We start from the raw sequence: 21,693 nt of genomic DNA, 5'->3' as shown, positions 1-21,693 counted from the left end.
TATTTTCATTTGTTATTGGTAGTTAGTTATTTCAGTCGTCTTCCCATCTAAACCGCTAGGACCATGAAATAAGACCCATGCCCTCCCCACCCCTTGTATTCACTTGCATCCCCGGAGCCTGGCACTCAGTGGCCACTCCATGTACATATTTGACTAACTACCCAGCTGGATACCTCAGGAGATATCATTTTCCCTTCTCACAGAGAATCAAAGGACCTCATGGGAGTGCCCAGTTTTGAGAAGAAAGCTAGATTTGCCGGCCGTGTTTTCACTCAGCTATGGTTGTATCATTCAACTTTTAACAAACAGAAGTTGGCAGGAATAGGAAGGCAAAGTGCAGCAGAAATAAAATCCAGGAGGACACACACTGCCTTCGGGAGGTGTCTCTGAGTTGGGCGTGGTGGTGACTGAAGCAGGCGGACCTGGAATGCAGCAGCAGCCAGGAGCCTGCCCAGATGCTCTCGTCCTCCATTTGTCCCTGCAACCATTATTTACAGTTTGTTGCTATGATCCCACAAGCTCATCTTCACTCCCAAAGGAGAGAGAAGTAAACTAGATTGATAGGGTGCTTTCATCTGTATGATGTTTTGTCTGTGAGCCCTGTGGGAGCTGGCATGCTGAGAGTAGCTACTGTCTTCCCAGAGAGGGAGCCCCATGGTGGGGAGTGTGGACTCTCCCCGAGAAGCTTCTCTCTTTCTCTCCTGGCTGAAAGTGGATACATCAATTTCTATCCCAGAGGTGTTAGGCTGTAATACTGAGAGTTTATGAATGTCACTGTCAAAGCCAACCAATGACCACAACTTGGACTGTGGTCATTGGACTACCTCATTTCCAGATGCATTTTAACCTTGTCCTTGGCAATGCATTTAGCAGGACTTGCACTTGTCCAACAGGCTGTCACCCATTCACCATTTATTTGACCACTACAGTATAACCATGAGATGTCTGCAAGGCATATGCTTTTTTAAAACCAAGATATCCTTTTGTAGGAAGGATATAAAATGCATTTTATCTTGCAAGCCCACTTTGATCATTTATTGGTGGCTGCCTGGGGCCCTGTGTTGAGAAGGATTCTGAAGTACAGAAATCACTTACTTATGGGCACCAGAGGGCTTTTAAAACTCTTTTATAAGAAATATACTAACAACCAAAAGGCCTAATAGGATGCATTTTAAGAGTCCCCTGGGAGGAATTCTGCTGCTTCTCTAGAATTCAGAAGTAGCTATGCTTATTCCTGTCTTCCTTTCTTTTTTTTTTTTTTTTTGTTAAATAGCAAAATTTCCCTTCCCAACACACTTGCCTATTACCACGCATGATATATTTTATGGTATCATCAAATGTTAGAGCTGAATGATTCTTTAGAGAGCATTCAGTCTAAGGGTCTTGTTTTGCAGAAGACAAGGCTGGGGGATGCTGATTTTCCAAAGGGCAAATGGCTAGTTAGTATAGGTTCTCTTTCATTTGTCTTCTTTTGGACCCTTTGCTCCAAGGCAGAAAGTTTGTCATATCTTAGCTCTGCTAGTAAAGAACATGAAGTTGTGTAGGACCGAACTAGAAGTGTATCTTGAGCCACAAGGATAACACCTTTCAACCACACAGCCTGGCTCTCTCATTTGCTAGTTGAGTAACCATCATAAATTGCTTAACATTGCTAAGTCTCAGTTTCCTGACCAACAAACTGGGGATGAGGATTAAATGAGATAATGAATGTAAAATGTGTAGCACTGGGCCTGGCTTAACAAATGTTGACTATTGTTATCATCTGTAGAATGATCCAGCTGGACTCAATGAGTCGCTCTTGTTCTGAGAGCCGATGCTTCGGGACATCCGTTAATAATGCATGGGATTGTTTCTGAACTGCCTGTGATGAGCTCTATATTGTCATCAGGACTGTTCTATCAAATGAGATGATACGTGGAGAGTGAGTTCTTGGCTAACAATAAAGTATTAGCTATTGTTTATTTCAGATAACATTTATCATCATTATTATTACTGCTACTATTCATAACTGTCAAGGTATATCTATCAATATGGCAATATTTATAATTCCAATGGCAAGTTTCAAATCCATGAAGGACTCTGGAATTTTTAATTCACTAAGGACAAGGTGCCAGCCTTTGTATTCTGACTTGTATCTTTAAACAGTCTCTTCTCAACAAGGTGATGTTTTCTGGGTGAACTTTATATCTTGCTATAGTTTTAATTAGTATCATATTTGTATTTGTTTTTTACTGGTATATAAGTTCTAGGCTTTCATCCATAGTCATTTCCTAGAGCGTACAGTTTTAAAACACCCAATAAATAAATTATAAATGTGTGTGTGTGTGTGTGTGTGTGTGTGTGTGTGTGTGTCTAGGCTGAAGTCTGCACTGGCTTCTCAACAGTGAGCATTAGGTATTGGTGAAGGGAAAATGGTGTCTTGTACCTTGGGATGTTGTCTGGACACAAGTTCTAAAATATGTCATTTATCTGCTGAACTCTACCAGGATGGATTTCCATCCCACTCTTGTGTTTCAGTCCACACCATCTGTATCAGGAAATGGGCTGCAAAGATGCTACTGACATGAACTCAACTAATTTCTCATCATAAAGTATCTGGAAGCTCCAGAAAGCAGCCATGGCCTGAGTATCATCCTGTTGGAGACTTGCTCCATTTACAAAATCCAACAGTGGGACACAGAAACATTCCTGCAAGGTCCAAGGAATCTCAAGTGTTCTTTATGGCTCGAGTCTATAAATTCATTAGGGAAAACTCACTGAATCTTAGGCCTATTATTTTTTTCTTGAAAAGGAGACATAAAGACAAAGCGAAAAAGCAAGGGCTATGTGATTAGAGGGCCTGGGTGAGAATCCAGGTCAGACCCTGCTGCATACGAGTCATCTGACCCCAGGACTGGAGCCTTTATCTCCTCGAGTGTCCATTTTCTCATCAATGAACTGGACGAGGATTACACGTCCACTGCTGATTTATGGGTCCTTGAGAGGATCAAATGAGGTAATAAATACAAAATGATTTGCAAATTCTTAAGTCATTTTCAAAAATAAGTTTCTTACAATAATCATAACAATGGTAACCATGCCTAGAAAGCCCTGCCCTACATTAAAGACCCTCAAGAGCAGGAGGTTGGAAAAGGAGAGATATAGGAAACACGAAAAGGCATCAAGTCTGCTCTGAAAAGCTGTCACTCAGCCTGAGTGTGTGATCCTGACAGGGAAGCACCAGGAAGCCTGGCAGGTCTCAGTGAGTGATGGAGACCCCAGTCAGCACAGCTTCAGCAGAAAGGAATTTATTGCCTCTCATCCCAAAGGAAATCACAGCTGGCTCTAGAAGTTTAGTGTCATCGGGACCCAGTCTTTCTCACTCAATCTCTTGGCTCCACTTTTCTCTCTGTTGACTTTATTCTCAGGCAAAAATCACCCCACTGTTTTTTTAATCCATCCCTGCAAATAAAAGAATGGCTCTCATTCCCAACAAGAGCCCTCGAACTGGGTCTTCTTGTGTCATACTGATTGTGTTTCCTAAAGCCAACCACTGTGGCCAAGTGAATGTAATATGTGAATTCATGCATTTATTCAGTACATAATTATTGAGCATCTACCATGCTCAATACTTTTCTAGGAGCTTAAGATATAGCAGTGAACAAAACCGATAAGTAAGTACATAAATAAAGAAATGTTAGACACTGATTCAGAGTCAGAAGTTTTGGGTGGAGGCCAGGACCCTGCTTCTTTAGCAAGCTCTCCCTGAGTCATGCCTGCAATTAATCTATGGTCCATGCTGTGGAGAAGTACAATGTAAAAGAACCCACTCCAAAGAGCCAGGGAGCAGCGTCCAGCTGCAAGTCCCCCTTTCTTCTGTCAGAGAAGTTTGCAGAAGTGAACACAGTGGGTAGACACCCCAGTGATAGCTACGGGATGGATGGGAAGGAAGTCTGCTTGGATAAAGGGCAGGAGTAGGCACCTTAATTGTTCAAGACATCATTTCCCACCCTAGAGCACCCCATTGCCTCCCAAGCTGAAACTCATGTATTTCCTGCAAATACCAAAATGAGGATTTGTTTCTTTTCTCTCTTTCCAACTTAAATATTTGTAAAGACTCAGTCTATGTGGGAACTAATTGTTTTGTGCTCTAAATGCAGGTCTGCATGTTTAGGGCTCAATATTAATTTATGATGATTGGTTATTATTCCACTAGTTGTCCCCCTCTTTCCTGCTACCCTTCCCTTCCAAATGGCCTGTTGTATCTTGTTTCTCTTCTGAACCCCAAAAGGCAAAGACTTGTGGAAAGTGTTTCTGTGTGTGGAGGCCTAGAAGCTTGTTTCTTAGAAGCAGGGAGAGAGAGATGCTTTGAAATCTGGTTTTACAAGCCTCTCAGTTTTACCAGTTACCTCTTATGAAACCAAAGCTGGGACTGAGCAGCATAGATAGGCTTCCAGAGCCTTTCATGTGCAAATGTCCTGAGGCTATTTCTGTCAGCTTCCTTTCCTCCTCCTTCTGTTTGTTTCCCCAGGAAATCTTTGCTGTGTGACCTCGTTTTCCTTTGAACTTTCTATCTTGCATTTCCGCCTTTGGTCACTAACTTTCCCTTCTCTGATGGTCAGAAACGGGGGCCTTGTGCTTTGTACCTAGAGGTGCTCTAGAGACGTCTACCCAGCAAATGAGCGATTGCTACAATTGAGTGTGGGGGCTGGGAGGAAAAGATAATTGTAATGGAAGGCACAAGAGGAAGGCAGGGAAGGAAACACGCAAGTAAGCAAACACTTCCATAGAATTATATTTAAAGGAGGCAACTGGTGTGATACCTTCTGGAGAATAGGGCAGGGCAGGGTTAGAACCACTCCTTTAGAATGTTGCTTCTGAATCATTCACAGATTGCTCACTTAATTGGAAATGTAGATTAAAAGTGGAGACTTAGAACTATGAGGAGGCAGATAGAAATGCCTCAGAGATCGTCCTCTCTGGGCTCATGGTACAAAAGAGGAAAAGTGAGGCCAGCAAGAGTGGGTGACTTGACCAAGATCAGCCAGGACCTTTCAATGACAAAGCATAACAAGTCGTAGGTTTCATGCGCGTCCATGTGAAGAGACCACCAAACAGGCTTTGTGTGAGCAACATGGCTGTTTATTTCACCTGGGTGCAGGTGGGCTGAGTCCGAAAAGAGAGTCAGCGAAGGGAGATGGGGGTGGGGCCGTTTTATAGGATTTGGGAAGGTAATGGAAAATTACAGTCAAAGGGGGTTGTTCTCTGGTGGGCAGGGGAGGTGGGGGGGGGTCACAAGGTGCTCAGTGGGGGAGCTTCTGAGCCAGGAGAAAGAAATTCACAGGGTTAATCACTCAGTTAAGGTGGGGCAGGAACAAATCACAATGGTGGAATGTCATCAGTTAAGGCGGGGCAGGGCCTTTTCACTTCTTTTGTGATTCTTCAGTTACTTCAGGCCATCTGGGCATATAGGTGCAAGTCACAGGGGACGTGATGGCTTGGCTTGGGCTCAGAGGCCAGACATTCCTGCCTTCTTATATTAATAAGAAAAATAAAACAAAATAGTGTTGAAGTGTTGGGGCGGCAAAAATTTTTGGGGGGTGGTATGGAGAGAGAATGGGCGATGTTTCTCAGGGCTGCTTCAAGCGGGATTAGGGGCGGCGTGGGAACCTAGAGTGGGAGAGATTAAGCTGAATGGAAGATCTTGTGGTAAGGGGTGATATTGTGGGGTTGTTAGAAGAAACATTTGTCGTGTAGAATGATTGGTGATGGCCTGGATATGTTTTGTATGAATTGAAAAACTAAATGGAAAAGGTCTAAGAATTGGGAGGACCTAGGACATCTGATTAGAGTGCCTAAGGAGATTCAGCATAGTCCTGCCAGCAAAGATTATTTATTTACTTCAAGAGTTAAGAGTGGCAGTTTGGGGATAGCACAAGGAGATATCAGCTGTGATGGCTTGGAGAAACAGTGTAAACTGGCAGTGTAAACAAGAGCAGGGCATGTATGAGTAGTTGAGAACGGAGAATAGGAGTATGACTAGACAGAAGATAGTAGGGATGACAAGTTTTTTGGGGCACAGTCTAAGTTGGTCTGGTGTCTGGAATGAGACTGGGGCCTAATAAAAAGGAGCGTATATACAGGAGCTTAAATGGGCTGTACCTTGTAGGATTCTGAGGACAGGTCTGACTTCTGAGAAGGGAAAGTGGTAAAAGTATTGTCCAGTCCTTTTTAAGTTGGTGGCTGAGCTTGGTGAAGTGTGTTTTTAATAGACCATTAGTCTGTCACTGAATACTAAGAGCCTGAAAAAATGCTTGGCTGATTTGACTAATAAAGGCTGGTCTGTTATCAGACTGTATAGAGGTGGGAAGGCTAAACTGAGGAATTATGTCTGACAGAAGGGAAGAAATGACTGTGGTGGCCTTCTCAGACCCTGTAGGAAAGGCCTCTACTTATCTAGTGAAAGTGTCTACTTAGACTAAGAGGTATTTTAGTTTTTGTGACTCGGGGCATGTTGAGTAAAGCTAATTTGCCAGTACTGGGCGGGGGCAAATCCTCGAGCTTGATGTGTAGGGAAGGGAGGGGGCCTGAATAATCCTTCAGGAGTAGTAGAATAGCAGATGGAACACTGAGAAGTTATTTCCTTGAGGATAGATTTCTATGATGGAAAGAAAATGAGAGGTTTTAAGAGGCGGGCTAGTGGCTTGTACTATAGCATAGCCTGCCTTTGCTGGTGTGTGGCGATTAGGCCTGGTGGAACTGCCATCAATAAATCAAGCGTGATCAGGGTGAGGAACAGGAAAGAAGGAAATATGGGGAAATGGGGTGAATGTCAGGTGGATCAGAGAGATACAGTCATGGGGGTCAGGTGTGGTATCAGGAATAATGCGGGAGGCCAGATTGAAGTCCGGGCCAGGAACAATGGTAATTGTGGGACTTAACAAAGAGTGAGTACAGCTGAAGGAGCCGGGGAGCAGAAAGTACATGCGTCAGGTATGAGGAAGAAAATAGATTTTGGAAGTTATGAGAAATGTAGAGAGTGAGTTGAGTATAGTTTGTGATTTTTAGGGCCTCAAAAAATATTAAAGCAGCGGCAGCCGCTCCACGCAGACATGAGGGCTAGGCTAAAACAGTAAGGTCAAGTTGTTTGGACAGAAAGGCTACAGGGTGCGGTCCTGGCTCTTGTGTAAGAATTCTGACCGCGCTAACCATGCCTAGGAAGGAAAGGAGTTGCTTTGTAAGGGATTGAGGTTTGGGAGATTAATCGGACACGATCAGCAGGGAGAGCACATGTGTTTTTATGAGAATTATGCTGAGATAGGTAACAGATGAGGATGAAATTTTGGCTTGATTGAAGTAATGGGGGCTGTCTGTGAAGCCTTGCAGCAGTACAGCCCAGGTAATTTGCTGAGCCTAACTGGTGTCAGGGTCAGTCTAAGTGAAAGCAAAGAGAGGCTGGGATGAAGGGTGCAAAGGAATAGTAAAAAAAAGCATGTTTGAGATCCAGAACAGAATAATGGGTAGTAGAGGGAGGTATTGAGGATAGGAGAGTATATGGGTTTGGCACCATGGGGTGGATAGGCAAAACAATTTGGTTGATAAGGCGCAGATCCTGAACTAACTTGTAAGGCTTGTCTGGTTTTAGACAGGTAAAATGGGGGAATTGTAAGGAGAGTTTATAGGCTTTAAAAGGCCATGCTATAGCAGGTGAGTGATAACAGGCTTTAATCCTTTTAAAGCATGCTGTGGGATGGGATCCTGACATTGAGCAGGGTAAGGGTGATTAGGTTTTAATGAGATGGTAAGGGGTGCATGATCGGTCGCCAAGGAGGGAGTAGAGGTATCTTATACTTGAGGGTTAAGGTGGGGGAATACAAGAGGAGGACGCAAAGGAGGCTTTGGATTGGGGAGAAGGGCGGCAATGAGATATAGCTGTAGTCCAGGAATAGTCAGGGAAGCAGATAATTTAGTTAAAGTGTCTCAGCCTAATAAGGGAACAGGGCAGGTGGGGATAACTAAAAAGGAATGCTTAAAAGAGTATTATCTAAGTTGGCACCAGAGCTGGGGAGTTTTAAGAGGTTTAGAAGCCTGGCCATCAATACCCACAACAGTTATGGAGGCAAGGGAAACAGGCCATTGAAAAGAAGGTAATGTGGAGTGGGTAGCCTCCGTATTGATTAAGAAGGGGATGGGCTTACCTTCCACTGTGAGAGTTACCTGAAGCTCGGCGTCCTTGATGGTCTAGGGGGCTTCCGAGGCGATCAGGCAGTGTCAGTCTTCAGCCGCTAAGCTGAGAAGATCTGGGAAGGAGTCAGTCAGAGAGCCTTGGGCCAGAGTTCCAGGGGCTCTGGGAGTGGCTGCCAGGTGAGTTGAACAGTCCGATTTTCAGTGGGGTCCCACACAGATGGGACATGGCTTAGGAGGAATCCCAGGCTGCGGGCATTCCTTGGCCCAGTGGCCAGATTTCCGGCACATGTAGCAAGCTCCTGGGGGAGGAGGTTCTGGAGGAACGCCTGGCCGCTGCGGTTCAGGCGTTTGGAAGTTCTTGTGTGCTGGAGATGTGGCTGGGGTTTGTCTCACAGTGGAGGCAAGGAATTGCAACTTTTTTCTATTATTGTACACCTTGAAGGTGAGGTTATTTAAGCCCTGTTGTGGGGTTTGGGGGCCAGATTCTAATTTTTGGAGTTTAATGTCCAGAGCAGATTGGGTAGTAAAATGTATATTGAGAATAAGATGGCCTTTTGACCTTTTAGGGTCTAGGGCTGTAAAGCGTCTCAGGGTTGCTGCCAAACGAGCCGTGAACTGGGCTGGATTTTTATATTTGATGAAAAACAGCCTAAACGCTTCTGATTTGGGATAAAGAAAAAGGAGCATTAACCTTGACTATGCCTTTGGCTCCAGCCACCTTTTTAAGAATAAATTGCTGGGCAGGTGGGGGAGGGCTAGTCACGGAACGAAACTGTAAGCCGGACCAGGTGTGAGGAGGGGAGGCGATAAAAAGATTATAGGGTAGAGGAGCGGAGGCTGAGGAAGAATTGGGACCTAGCTCGGCCTGGCGAGGAGGGGAGAGGTCAGATGGGTCTGTAGAAAAGGAAGATTAGAAAGACTCAGCGATGCTTGGGGTTGGGACTGAGGGGACAGGCGGGAGGGAAAGAAGGAAGATTTGGGATGAGTTGCACTGGGCACAGAGACTAGGAAGGGACTGATGTGTAAAAGAATGCCTGGACGTCAGGCACCTCAGGCCATTTGCCCATTTTACGACAAGAATTATTTAGATCTTGTAGGATGGAAAAATTGAAAGTGCCGTTTTCTGGCTATTTGGAACTATGTCGAGTTTGTATTGGGGTTAAGCGTCATTGCAGAAGAAAATAAGGCATTTAGGTTTTAGGTCAGGTGTGAGTTGAAGAGGTTTTAAGTTCTTGAGAACACAGGCTAAGGGAGAAGAAGGAGGAATGGAGGATGGAAGGTTGCCCATAGTGAAGGAGGCAAACCCAGAGAAAAGAGGGTGTAGAGACACGGAGGGAAGGGTTTTGGGGGTTCTTACCCTCCAGAAAAGTGGGAAGGGGGGGTGGGGCATGGAAATAAGGGATTGGGGCACAGAGATAAGAGGTTGGGGTACAGAAATAAGGGATTGGGGGTTCTTGCCCCCTAGAAAAGCGGGACTTGCCACTAAAGGTGAAGGAGAAGGGGTTGAGGGGTACTTGCCCCTCCCCCAGAAAAGCAGAGAAGGGGTAGAGACACTGAAGAAGGGGTTGGGGTACTTGCCCCTCCCCCAGAAAAGCAGGACTTGCCGCTAAGGGTGAAGGAGAAGGGGTTGAGGGGTACTTGCCCCTCCCCCAGAAAAGCAGAGAAGGGGTAGAGACATGGAGAGAAGGGGTTGGGATACTTGCCCCTCCCCCAGAAAAGCGGGACTTGCCGCTAAGGGTGGAGGACCAAGGCAGGCCTCCCTATGTGGTCTGACACCTTTGAAATGTGGGTGAATAATCAGAGAGGTGTCTCTGCAATGATTAAACACCAAGGGAAGTCTGTCTTCCCAGTCCATGACCAGTGCTGGAGTTTTGGGTCCACGGATAAAACGTGTCTTCTTTGTCTCTACCAGAAAATGAAAGGAATTGAAATTAAGAGAAGGGAGAGATTGAAGTGTGGCACCAAGATTGAAAGGAGAAAGAGGTTGAGGGATAGTGAGGGAGGTTGGAGAAGAGAGTAAAAAGAGGCCACTTACCGGATTTGAAATTGGTGAGATGTTTCTTGGGCTGGTCAGTCTGAGGACCTGAGGTGGTAGGTGGAGCTTTCTCATGGAGCAAAGAGCAGGAGGACAGGGGATTGATCTCCCAAGGGAGGTCCCCTGATCCACCAAATTTCATGCGCGTCTGTGTGAAGAGACCACCAAACAGGCTTTGTGTGAGCAACATGGCTGGTTGTTTCACCTGGGTGCAGGTGGGCTGAGTCCAAAAAGAGAGTCAGCGAAGGGAGATAGGGGTGGGGCCGTTTTATAGGATTTGGGAAGGTAATGGAAAATTACAGTCAAAGGGGGTTGTTCTCTGGTGGGCAGGGGCGGGGGGTCACAAGGTGCTCAGTGGGGGAGCTTCTGAGCCAGGAGAAGGAAATTCACAGGGTTAATCACTCAGTTAAGGTGGGGCAGGAACAAATCACAATGGTGGAATGTCATCAGTTAAGGTGGGGCAGGGCCTTTTTACTTCTTTTGTGATTCTTCAGTTACTTCAGGCCATCTGGGGGCATACGTGCAAGTCACAGGGGATGCGATGGCTTGGCTTGGGCTCAGAGGCCTGACAATAGGCAGAAGCCAGGGAGGCCAAGGAAGCTAAGTTTCATCCAGGATCACAGTTCTTAGCCTAAGTCATATCATAAAGAAAAAGTTGATATCCTCTGATCATTTATGGAGAAAGAATGTTATAAACTGAATTTTGACTTTTCTCACAAATTCTTCCTTGTGTGGCAAGACCAATGAGTATGCTCGTGTTGTGTGGGCAGTTCCACTTTTAGAGGAGAATATTTGAAAATAATATGGCAGCTCCTGACTGGTGATTTCTGGTTCTCTCAGGTCTTGCATTTTCTCTTTTTAAAATAGCATCCTAAATAGAATTTGAATCCTAACTTTATAAAAAATAATAATAAAATAAAAAGAGGAAATATTAATTCAAATCATGTCATGTCCCGCTTTCAACCCTCCAATCCAAAGTCTTAGCAAGGCTTATAAGGGCCTACCTGGTCTGCCCTGCCCACTTCTGACTTCCTCTCACTATTACTGGCTTTATTCTTTCTAAGATGAAGTTAGGCATTTAAATTCATCAAATCTGAGGAAGTGGCTTATCTGTTTCTGTATGTAAGAAATTATCTCCCTTTTTTGTTAAACAGTCAGATGAATTGTCAGTATTAATGCCTGGACTATGAGATTTGAATCTGAATGAAATAGCCTAGGGAGGCAGGGAAAGAAATACAGTGAGGCATTCATTTAAAAAATATTCATTTGACCTTATGTACTAAGGTGAATGCGGGTAGAAGTTCCTGAAGCCAAGTTCAGATGTGACTTCCTTTCCTAAAGAGGCCCAATTAAGATCATATATCAGGTTGGCTCCTTCATTTGCATGTGAAAAGGCACAGTTACGGATGTAGCGGATTGTTTGCATGGCAAATTATAAGGAAATGTTTCTTCCTTCTGCCATCAAGACACTGTTTCAGCCATTTCCACATTAATTTTGTAGGCTGGAAAGCTCTTGTTGCCATTAATTATATCTGGGCAAAACTGGATTGAGTGGAGATAGGTTGGCAACAAAATAGGATGAGGCAGAAAATCTTGCAGAGTATCTCACCAGTTGAAAGAGCAGGGAAAGGACAAGTTTGAAATTATCTGTGCAAAGAATCCAGCTCCTTGCTGAATCTCCACTTTCTCCATGTCTTGCAGGTGATGTGTGGTTCCTAAAGGACTTCTGTCACTGTGCTTGCCCGAGGTGCAGTTAGAAAACCAGTTCTCTTGCTTTGTGCTGCATTTAGCCCAGCCAGGTTGGCAAAAGTTCGTAAAAGTGACCCCATTTTGTTCTCTCTCCCTTCAGATTTCAGTTTTGGCATAAGTTTTGGTTGGCAAATTGCATTCTACAATGAAAACGTTTTCTTACATTTAACCCTAAGTTGGCTTGAGATGGGCATAACCAGTCCTGATGCTGAAGGAAATAGTTAGGATATTAGGTCCTAGATTGCAAGCAAACTCAGTCCCACATCAGAGCCCAAGGAATGAAGCATCATACCTCAAAAGGCGCCCTAGACTTGAGCCCTCTAGACTAGCAGAGCAGATGCTCGTGACTCTTAGAAACTTCTGGGTTGAAAAAGAAATTTCAAATTCTTGGAAGCAACCTTCCCCCTACTTTCTCACAACAAATCCCTGACATAAACACAAAAGACATAAACATCTACTTAGCTATAGAAGAGTGGAGTTGTTATATAAGAATAGCTGTATGAGTTTAAAAGATGGGCTAATAAATTTGAAGGACAAAATTGAAGTCAGAAGAACTAGAAAGATGCAGATTACATTTTTTTCTGAAACATATCGTAGGGTGAAAAATAAAATAAGACAAGGGTTTTGGGCTGAAATATGCTAAGGACTTGCTGAACCCAAGCTCTGCATAAAAGCAGTTCAAGATGCTTATGTATGTGAGTATGTACATCGCTCTTTTTTTCTTTCTCTAAACCTGCTGCTGGAATCCACCATCCTGTCCTTTTTCATAACCTTCTCTGCAGGACAGATAGTCTCTCCCAACTGAGGCTCCATTTGCCTTGCCAAATCCCATTCTGAAAATTCAGCTTTCCAAATGGCAGCTTTAAGGGGACACAAACAAGGCTGAAAACTAGAGAGCAACCTAAAGGAACAGTTTGAGTTAGGAAGTTAAAGAGAATCTGTGAAGCCCTGTGGAGTGAGCTCATATTTCCTGAGGATCCTGCTGGCTTGTGCCAGTTGAGGTGACCGGTCTCTCCAGATGGGATGTGTGACTTTGCACACTGGGCTGTAATTGCCCATGACAACTGTAGCCTAGTTACTGCACCAAGAAAAAGAGATATACCAACAATAGCAGCACCCAGAAACTCATACTGCTCGAAGCAGATGTCCTATTAAAACTGTGATTGTCTCCATTAGAGAAATTCCTCCTCATGTTCTCATTCTTTGTTTCATATACCTTTTTTCAATAGTCTTTCTCTACCATTTCCCCCAAATATCCTGGTGTCTCTTTTTGTGGAAGAGAAGCAAAGTTTCTTTAACCTTGACTGACTTAACCTAACCTTGACTCCTCTTACTGTTTGGGTGCATAAGAAGTATTTTTCTTATGCGTTTCTCATCATAGAGGCCCTTGTCTTGGGCATTACCTTTTGCATTCATTTACCCATATACGCATCTGTCTACCCATCCATCCATCCATCCATCCATCCATTCATCCACTCAGCCACCCATCCATCCATCTATTCATCCATCTTCCAATATTCATATATTTTCTGAACCCAATAAGAGGATTGATTATTTTTGCCTGCCTGGAGCTGTTTCCTCTTCCTTTGGGCCAATGTTCTCTTTCATGTTAAATCCATGTGGTTCAAGTGGGATTGACCACAGCACCTAGCACCAAGAATGGACACATCACCCACACCAGGCCACTGCTCTACCCCAGTGACTGGATTGATTAGGGAAACCAAAGCCACTCCAACTCCTTGGTTTGTGGTTAGAATTCTTGGGGAAGAGAATGTCTCTCATAGAGCTGGGATTGCCAAACTTTGGGAATGTCAGCTTCGAGTTGCCAACAGCCACGAGAGAAAAGTGAGACCCAATAAGAAGAGACAGAACTGAGAGATGGCAAGAGGGCAGTCAAATCCAGACTTCCTGATTGAGCTCCTGGATCCAACTGTTTCAGTTCTAGCTCTGGAAATTTTCAAGCTTGTGGAGTTAAGTATTCCTTTTCAATTAAGTCATTTTGAGTTGAGTTTCTGTCACTCATAGTTAAAAGAGTTATGTCTACTGTATGCCAGGTAGCCGAGACAAACCAATGAGAGAGCCCAAACAGCCTAGCAGAGTGGTTAAGAGTGTGAACTTTGTCACCAGCCTTTGAATTCTGGCTCCACTGTTGACAAAGCACACAAGCTCAAAGTTCCTTTGTACCTCCATCTACCCATCTATAAAATGGTGAAGATATAAATAATACCTACTTCATAGGTTTTTGTGAGGATAAGCTAATTCATCTAGAGTGGTTAGCATGGTGCCTGGTCTGTAGTGGGCATTCACTAAATGTGACTTGTAGGCAAATTGTGGTCAGCAGTGCCCAGAAGCAATGAACAAGACCAAGCCTATAATAATACTCTCAAAAATCTGCTTTTTTAGCTTTCTCCTCCTCTCTATCCCACTGTGGTAGGTTGTACAGATTCCTAATTTATAACCATGGTCACTGTAAGCATTGGTATTGTTTGCCTCCATGGCATAGCTCAGGAAAAGCACACTAATATACCACCTCTCTTTACCCACCTAATGATGGGTGGGTAAAGCAAATGATGAAGGCTGGACATGTCTGGTGAGAAGTTAGCTCAAAGTACATGAAATGATAGTCTGAAATGATAGTCTACAAATACACTATCAAGCAAGCTATCCCAGAAGGGCTCATTAAAAGGCAGATTAAAATTTGCAAATAGCAAAGTTATTAAGTCAATTTAAAACACAAAGTGAGACGCAAGAGGAGAGAGACGGGGTAAGTTAATGCACTTAGGATCAGACACAAGTGGAGTGGAAGGACCCCACTGTGCAGGAAAGGGTTAACTCAGTGGGTCTGGGGTGTTCAAACCTGTACATCCCAAAGAAAGGACTGGCCCTTGGACTAGTTCAGGGAGATAATTCCTGAGCCTTTGGAATATCCTTACTGATAAGAGTGCTACCGTTTGCCCAGTGCCCTGGGCCATACCAGATAGTTTATGCTAAAAATGTGATTTAGGTGGTAGACTTGGGCCATATGCTATCAGTTTGACCTCTAGGGGGCAGCGGGGGCCTAGGGTTTGAGTAGCTAAGATAAGCTACATGGGCACTCTATGCCTATGTGGCTAAACTCCAGTAAGAACCCAGGACACCAAGTTTAAAGCATGGTTAAACTTCCTGGTTGGCAGTACTTTGTATGTAGTATCACACATCATTTCTGGGAGAATTAAGTGTTGTTCATACAACCCCATTGGGAGAGGACAACTAGAAGCTTGGACTTTGTCTTTCCTGGACTCCACCCTTTGCGTATTTTCCTTTGCCAAGTTTCATCTATAGCCTTTGCTATAATCAACTGTAATCATGAGTATAACTGCTTTTCTGATTTTTGTGAGTCCTTCCAGAAAATCATTGAATATGAGGGTGGCCTTGGGAATCCCTGATATAGATAGATAGGGATGGATTTGCTGGGTTGATATCACATCCCTGTTCTACTAGAGATATAAGGACAAGTATGCCTGGTGACAGCTATAGCTTGCCAGTTAGCAAGATGAGCAGCCATAAGTTCTATTTGTTTTTGGAGGCAGAGGACACATTGGACCAGAAAGATATAGCCAATAGGTTGCCAAATTAGGAGATCATGTATATAAAATGCTCATGTCTATTTGGTACCTCTTGGTGTTTAGCCTTATGTCTAAATGTCTATCTAGTACGTTACAAATATTTAATACTCAACTGCATCATAAATATTAGCTATTTCTCGGTCCTTTCATCCTACTCAATCTCGGTATAACACACACGTTCTACTTGCTATCTGCTTATCTTATGCTTAACACATCCCATAAATTCTGCCTACGAGAATCAAACTTTTTGCTAAGTGGCTACTTATTTATACTTTCACATCTTAAGATTGTTTGCCTATATTTTGTGAACTACGAGCTGATTTATTTAATAGACTGAAAAAAGCATGAACATTACAGGCCTGAGAGGTGAGTTAGGGGAGAAGAGTCATGACTATATCACTGCTATGGCTTGAATGTTTGTGTCCCCTCCAAAATTCATATGTTGAAACTTAATCACCAATGTGACAGTGTTAAGAGGGGGCCTTTAGGAGGTGATTAAGTCATGAGAGTGGAGATCTAATGAATCAGATTAGGGCCCTTATAAAAGAGGCTTCATACAGTGTTCAGCCCTCTTGCCCTTCCATCTGCTATGTGAAGACACAGCAACAAGGCGCCGCCTTGAAAGCAGAGGGCAGCCCTCACTAGACGCCAATGCCAGGAAGCTTGGTTTTGGATTCCCTAGCCTCCAGAACTGCAAGAAATAAAGTTGTGTTCTTGATCAATTACTCCATCTGTGGCATTTTGTGATGGCAGCACAGATGGACTAAGGTAATCATTAAGTGCTTTAGTACTGCAAGTTCTTCAGTTCTGGAAGGTCATGGTGGTGAGGCCCAGCATACACAAGTCCTGATTCCTGATGTCCCAGTAGCTGCCTTCCAAATTTTTTAGGTCTTATTCATTGTTTTTCCTACATAATGATAATAACAGCAATTAGTTATATAGAGTTACTATATTCCAGGCATCGTTCTAAACACTTTCCATAAATAATGGTTTTACAGGAACCAAGTGGGGCAGGGGCATGTTTAATCTTATTTTTACAGAGAACATAAGATGGAGCTGGGTGCAGTAACTTGCCCAAGATCAACAGCAGAAATGATGGTATACCAGGAACCAAACTCAGGCAAGCTGGCTCCAGAAACCAGACTGTTACCCACCGCATTCTGCTGACTTACAGAACAGTGTCAGCTCCTCATTTGCATACCGCCTTGGCTGAACTCAAGTGGAAATGTCTTATAGACATTGCCAAATGTACAATATTTAAAAGCTAAAAATGCTTAAGCTGAATGTTGATAAGAAACTAAAGAGTGAAGAATAGAAATACATTAATTTTTATTAACCTGTGACAAGATCATCATTCAGTAAGATGTTATATAATTACCTTAATTGTCACATGGGCATGAAGAGCAGAAGTTCAAAATGGTAGAATTTCATCCAGTGCCAGCACAGCGAAGTAGATATTCTTAAAATATAATTCAATTTGAAGGTGTCATAAGAAAAATTTATTTATTGAAAATTTTCGCAGATATTGAAAACATAATAAAAATGAAATGTCAACACACACAGCCACTTCAGATTTACCTGATATTTGTCACAGGGTTTATCTGCATACTTATTCACTCCAAAGTTGGGAAGACAAACAACAACAACACACAACAGGGCTCCTGGCCCCCACTTGTAGAGGGTGGGTGAGGTCAGGGGGTGTCACACTCAGTAACCCACAGGGAGAGACATTTTAACATTTCTTCCCTTAAGCTAAATACTTGTGAATACTTGTTACAATGGTTCTAATTTCCATTACAGGTAACTATTTGGGTTATTCTGTTGAGGCAGGGCAGAGGACAGGAAAAATGACCAAAGTTAAAGGACTGGAAGACAGAGGCTGGCTCTGCTCTCATTGTGTGGCCTTTTGTGAGTCTGTAGGCCTCAGTCTCACCATCTGCAGAACTGATAACCATACCCCTGTCCCGTGGAGTAATGAGCATTGTGGGAATCGTGGAGCAAAGCAAAGTACTCTGCACAGTGTCAAGCACATAGTAGGTGCTCAGTTAGTAACTGTGGAATCTGATGCTTATATATATTTTGTCTCTTTTGGAGAAAACTTTTCTCTTTTGGAGAAAAGTTCCTAAATTTTGCACATCCTGGATTCCTATTTGCCCTCAGAATGTTGGTGGAGGGTGGTGAATGGGTTGGAAATTGTGTTGCTGGCTCTAAACAAACTTTTCTTGACAAAATACAAACTTTGTTTTCAAGGGCTTCTAAACGAAATCTCATGCAGTTTCTTGGAAATCAAGAGTAGCTTTCATGAACATGTTTTAAGGCACAGCTGATTGCAGAATCATCTGGAATAGATGACATGGGGTGTAAGATCCTGTAATATGTTGTCTACACCTATTTGCCAATCCAGATAGACCAAGGAGCCAGCCCTGGACAAAGTCTGGGGTTTCATCAAGATCTTAATTTTATAGAATAAGAGGTCTTGCTGAATCTCTCCAGCTCATCTTGCCTCTTCCCGCCTTCCCCTGCTACTTGTTAGTGAATCCCCATAGGCAATAATCCCTGAAGCTAATGAACCCAAACACAAAAGGACCCCTGGTCCCCACATAAACCCAAACACTGCAAATGGTATTAGACACTCCCATTAAGCCCTTGTCCAGGAGAGGGCTGTTGCCACCCAACGCTGCCTCCTGATTAGCCTCTCACTGGGAATCACTGTAACTCCCTCAGCTTAGGCCAGGGAGTTCTCCTCGTAATTAACCTCTCTTTAGAGCTAATGGTTCTTACTGCTAGGCCTCTAATGTAGGGCAGCCAGCAATTCACCCTGAGGGCTTCTTTCCATGTATGAAACTAAAGCATTTTTAAAAAGTCTTTCTGCGGCAAATCAGCAGCCTAAAAGTTGCTTAGAAAGCTAATGGGAAAGGCTGTTATTACACTGAGGATGGTCCCACTGGACCCGTATTTGATTTCCTTGTTCTTCTTCCCTTTTATTGACTTTAACCAAAACAACAAACCATTTGAGTTTATCCCCATTTATACGTGTTCTGTGACTGCGAACAAAACCCTCTCATATCCCTAGGAATACTTGACTGTGGGTTGCTGGAAGCTGGGATTTCGGAGAATTTCCAACCTGAGAGTGATGTTGTCCTTAGGAAGTCTTCGAAGATTGAGAAGCTATATTGCCCCCCTCTGCCTACAGGGACACACTTATTGAGGCTAGGGAAGAAGGCTTGCACCTTCCAACAGAAAACCTGCTAACAAATTATCTCCACCAGAACTCTAAATAAATAAATAAAGACAAAAACAAATGCATAAATGGACAAACAGAAATTCCCAAGATCCTGAAACAAGAATGAAAATGACGTGGTGTCTCCCCACTCTGTTTGTAAAAAAAAGTGGGTTTGGTGATCATCACACCAAGAGGAGCTGACATTTCTTGCCAATTGAGGACATGCCAGACACTGTTCTAAGCTTTTGAAAACTGTTTCCTCACAAAGTTCTAACATCAGCCTTGTGAGGTAGATGCCATTAGTCCTGTTTTACAGACGAGGACACTAAGGCAAACACAGTGAAGGCCAGAAAGTGGTGGCATGTGGCTATGGGCTGGCTCCTGGCCATGCTCCGAGCCAAGCTCACCTGTTCGGTGTGAGGACATCCTCCCTGGGTCCGCCACAGGTGACCTGCTGACCCGCCTAGTTGTATAAGGAAGTTGATGCTGTATATTTCTATTGCACAGCATTAAAGCTTCAGGAAATCTCTCCTTTCTAAGCCTACATCTCCAGTCTGTCCCTATTTGAGTCTCTTCTCAACCCAGTCAGTTTCCATATGCCAATCCTGCAGCCATGTCAAACCAGAGGGTAAGTGGGAAACAGCATCATCCAATGACTATGCTCTGGACACTTGCAAGGTGTGGGGCTCTGGGATGAAAACACCAAGGTCCTTAGACTTGAGGATGTCTTAGCCTGATGGTGGAGACACACAAGTAAACACAATTTCATTACATACAACAAATGTTATTTTTATAGGCACAAATAGAATTTAATTGATGGCGGGTACTATTCTTAGCACTTCTCATAGATTTTTCTCATTGAACCCTCACACCAATCCAATGAGTAGTTGTGGTAAATGATACTTTGCAGGCAAGGAAGTGGGGGCACCGAGAGGTTATGTGACTCACCTGTAAATGGCGGAGCCAGAGTTGTGAGTCCAGGCAGTCTGGTCCCAGAGACTGTACATTTAACCAAGGTGCGCTGTGGCCTCTGTTCTGATAAAGGCAGGCACTGAGGACCTCGGGAGCATAGAGGAGCAACAACCAGCCCAGCCTGGAGGCACCAGCAGGGAAGAGCCTTTCCAGACAAGAGGGCTCCCGAGCTGCGTGAAGTGGAGGAGAAACACTTGACCCTGTGATGCAACGCTGTAAGTAGGTGGGCAAGCTACATGAAAAGGGAGATCTTTTCACCTCTGCCAGCCCATAGACCACACTAGTCCGTGACTTAACAGGACATGTGTTGGATAAAGCAAAACGTGTTGCTGGCGCATCATAGAGTCCATGCTGTGGTCAGAAGCAATAGGCTGGACGTGCACACAGCAACACGGATAGATTTTATGAACATAACACCGGGTGACAAAAGGAAGACACACAGTAGGACCTGTAGCCCAGTGTCATGTATGTAAATGAATAATGTATGCACACAAAACAATATATATTGACACATTATGTAAGAACACATAAAAATAAAATGATTCCTATCAAACAAAGTAGGATGGTTGCCTTTGGGGTTGGGAGGAGAATGGGAATGGAAAATAGAAATAGGATGAAATAAAGCAAGAGATGCATTGGAATGACAGCTTGCTGTGAACTGATGAGAATGATTAAGTCAACCTTAGTCCCTGAGGGACTCAGGAGGGAGAGAAAGAAGAGGACCCCTATGAGTGACCGTTAAGCACTCTTTTGCTAGGACTTGTCCCTATCCACTTCCACAGAGCTTAGCAGGAGCACCTAGTTGCCATCTACAGTGTGAGACCATCCCCTTCTCATGGCTGATTGGTCAAGGAGTGGGCACCTAACTCAAGCTCAGCCAATCAGTTCCCTCCCTGTTATAGAAAGCTTTATTACCTTCCATTGCTGGGGCACTGAAACTGAGGGTTAAGGGGAAACAGGAGCCTAACTGATTCAAATTCAGTCTCCATCACTAGTCCCACAACTTTGGGCACATTGCTTAGCCCCTAAGTAATTGAGGTTTCTTATCTATAAAATGGAAAAATATAATAGCTGACTTAAAGGATTGTGTGAGGATTTGTTGAGTGATGAAATGCAGGTATAGTGCTTAAAACAGTGCTTGCCACACAACAGGGTCTCCATAAATATCTGCCATGGCTTTCCTGAGAGCTTGGGAACTGGGAGAATAAACGGCTTTATCTGGAATCTGGTTGGCTGATCAGTATGACAAGGAGTAAGTCACTTTCGATTGCATTGGAGCAGTCTCATTATTTTATCCCCATGAGCCATAGGAATATCATCATTTTATGTAATATTTGTGAGGTGAAGCAGGTCGAAAAGCACTGCTGAGCAGGCAGCAGTCTCCAGTTCAATTCCTGAAGCCTCAGCCTCACTATATCCGAGACCTTGAGTTCACGTGATACCTCAGTATCTCCTCTTTCTTATGGAGTTAGTTTAAATGTATTTTGTCTCTTACCTATAGAGTCCTGATTACGAGGGTCATAATGACAGAGAAAACCGTAAAGTATCAGCCTCTTAGTTCATCTCTGCACATGGTAATTTTCATGGTGTTTTCTACCTGGTGAGAGTCATCCTCAAGAGCTGATTATTTAGTTCACAATTGTTGAAAAACAAGTACAGGCCGGGCACGGTGGCTCATGCCTGTAATCCCAGCACTTTGGGAGGCCGGGGCGGGCAGATCACGAGGTCAGCAGATTGAGACCATCCTGGCTAACATGGTGAAACCCCGTCTCTACTAAAAATGCAAAAAAAAAAAAAAAAAAAAAAAAATTAGCCGGGCCTGGTGGCAGGCGCCTGTGGTCCCAGCTACTTGGGAGGCTGAGGTAGGAGAATGGCGTGAACCCGGGAGGCGGAGATTGCAGTGAGCCGAGATTGTGCCACTGCACTCCAGCCTGGGCGACAGA

General features: G+C 43.9%; 2 long non-coding RNA genes across 2 annotated transcripts in view, besides 1 other annotated feature; one reads left to right on the top strand and one right to left on the bottom strand.

The window, feature by feature from the left end:
• LOC101927066 (uncharacterized) overlaps nt 1–21,693 on the top strand; it is a 494,634-nt gene that overhangs the window by 260,697 nt on the left and 212,244 nt on the right. The window lies entirely within an intron of this gene.
• Nucleotides 1,266–21,693, bottom strand: part of LOC105375655 (uncharacterized) — a 34,037-nt gene continuing 13,609 nt past the window's right edge. Inside the window, exon 2 of the long non-coding RNA XR_928434.3 lies at nt 1,266–19,920. This is a non-coding gene — a long non-coding RNA (uncharacterized LOC105375655). The remainder of the gene's footprint in view (nt 19,921–21,693) is intronic.
• Nucleotides 13,886–14,180: an enhancer, noted in NCBI's record as "tiled region #10694; HepG2 Activating DNase matched - State 6:EnhF". NCBI's record gives its function as "activates a minimal TATA promoter and a strong SV40 promoter by Sharpr-MPRA in HepG2 cells {active_cell/tissue: HepG2}" and the evidence as "EXISTENCE:reporter gene assay evidence [ECO:0000049][PMID:27701403]".

Source organism: Homo sapiens, chromosome 8 (assembly GCF_000001405.40).
Source record: "Homo sapiens chromosome 8, GRCh38.p14 Primary Assembly".
NCBI lineage: Eukaryota > Metazoa > Chordata > Mammalia > Primates > Hominidae > Homo > Homo sapiens.
This window is presented reverse-complemented; position numbering and strand designations above follow the sequence as displayed.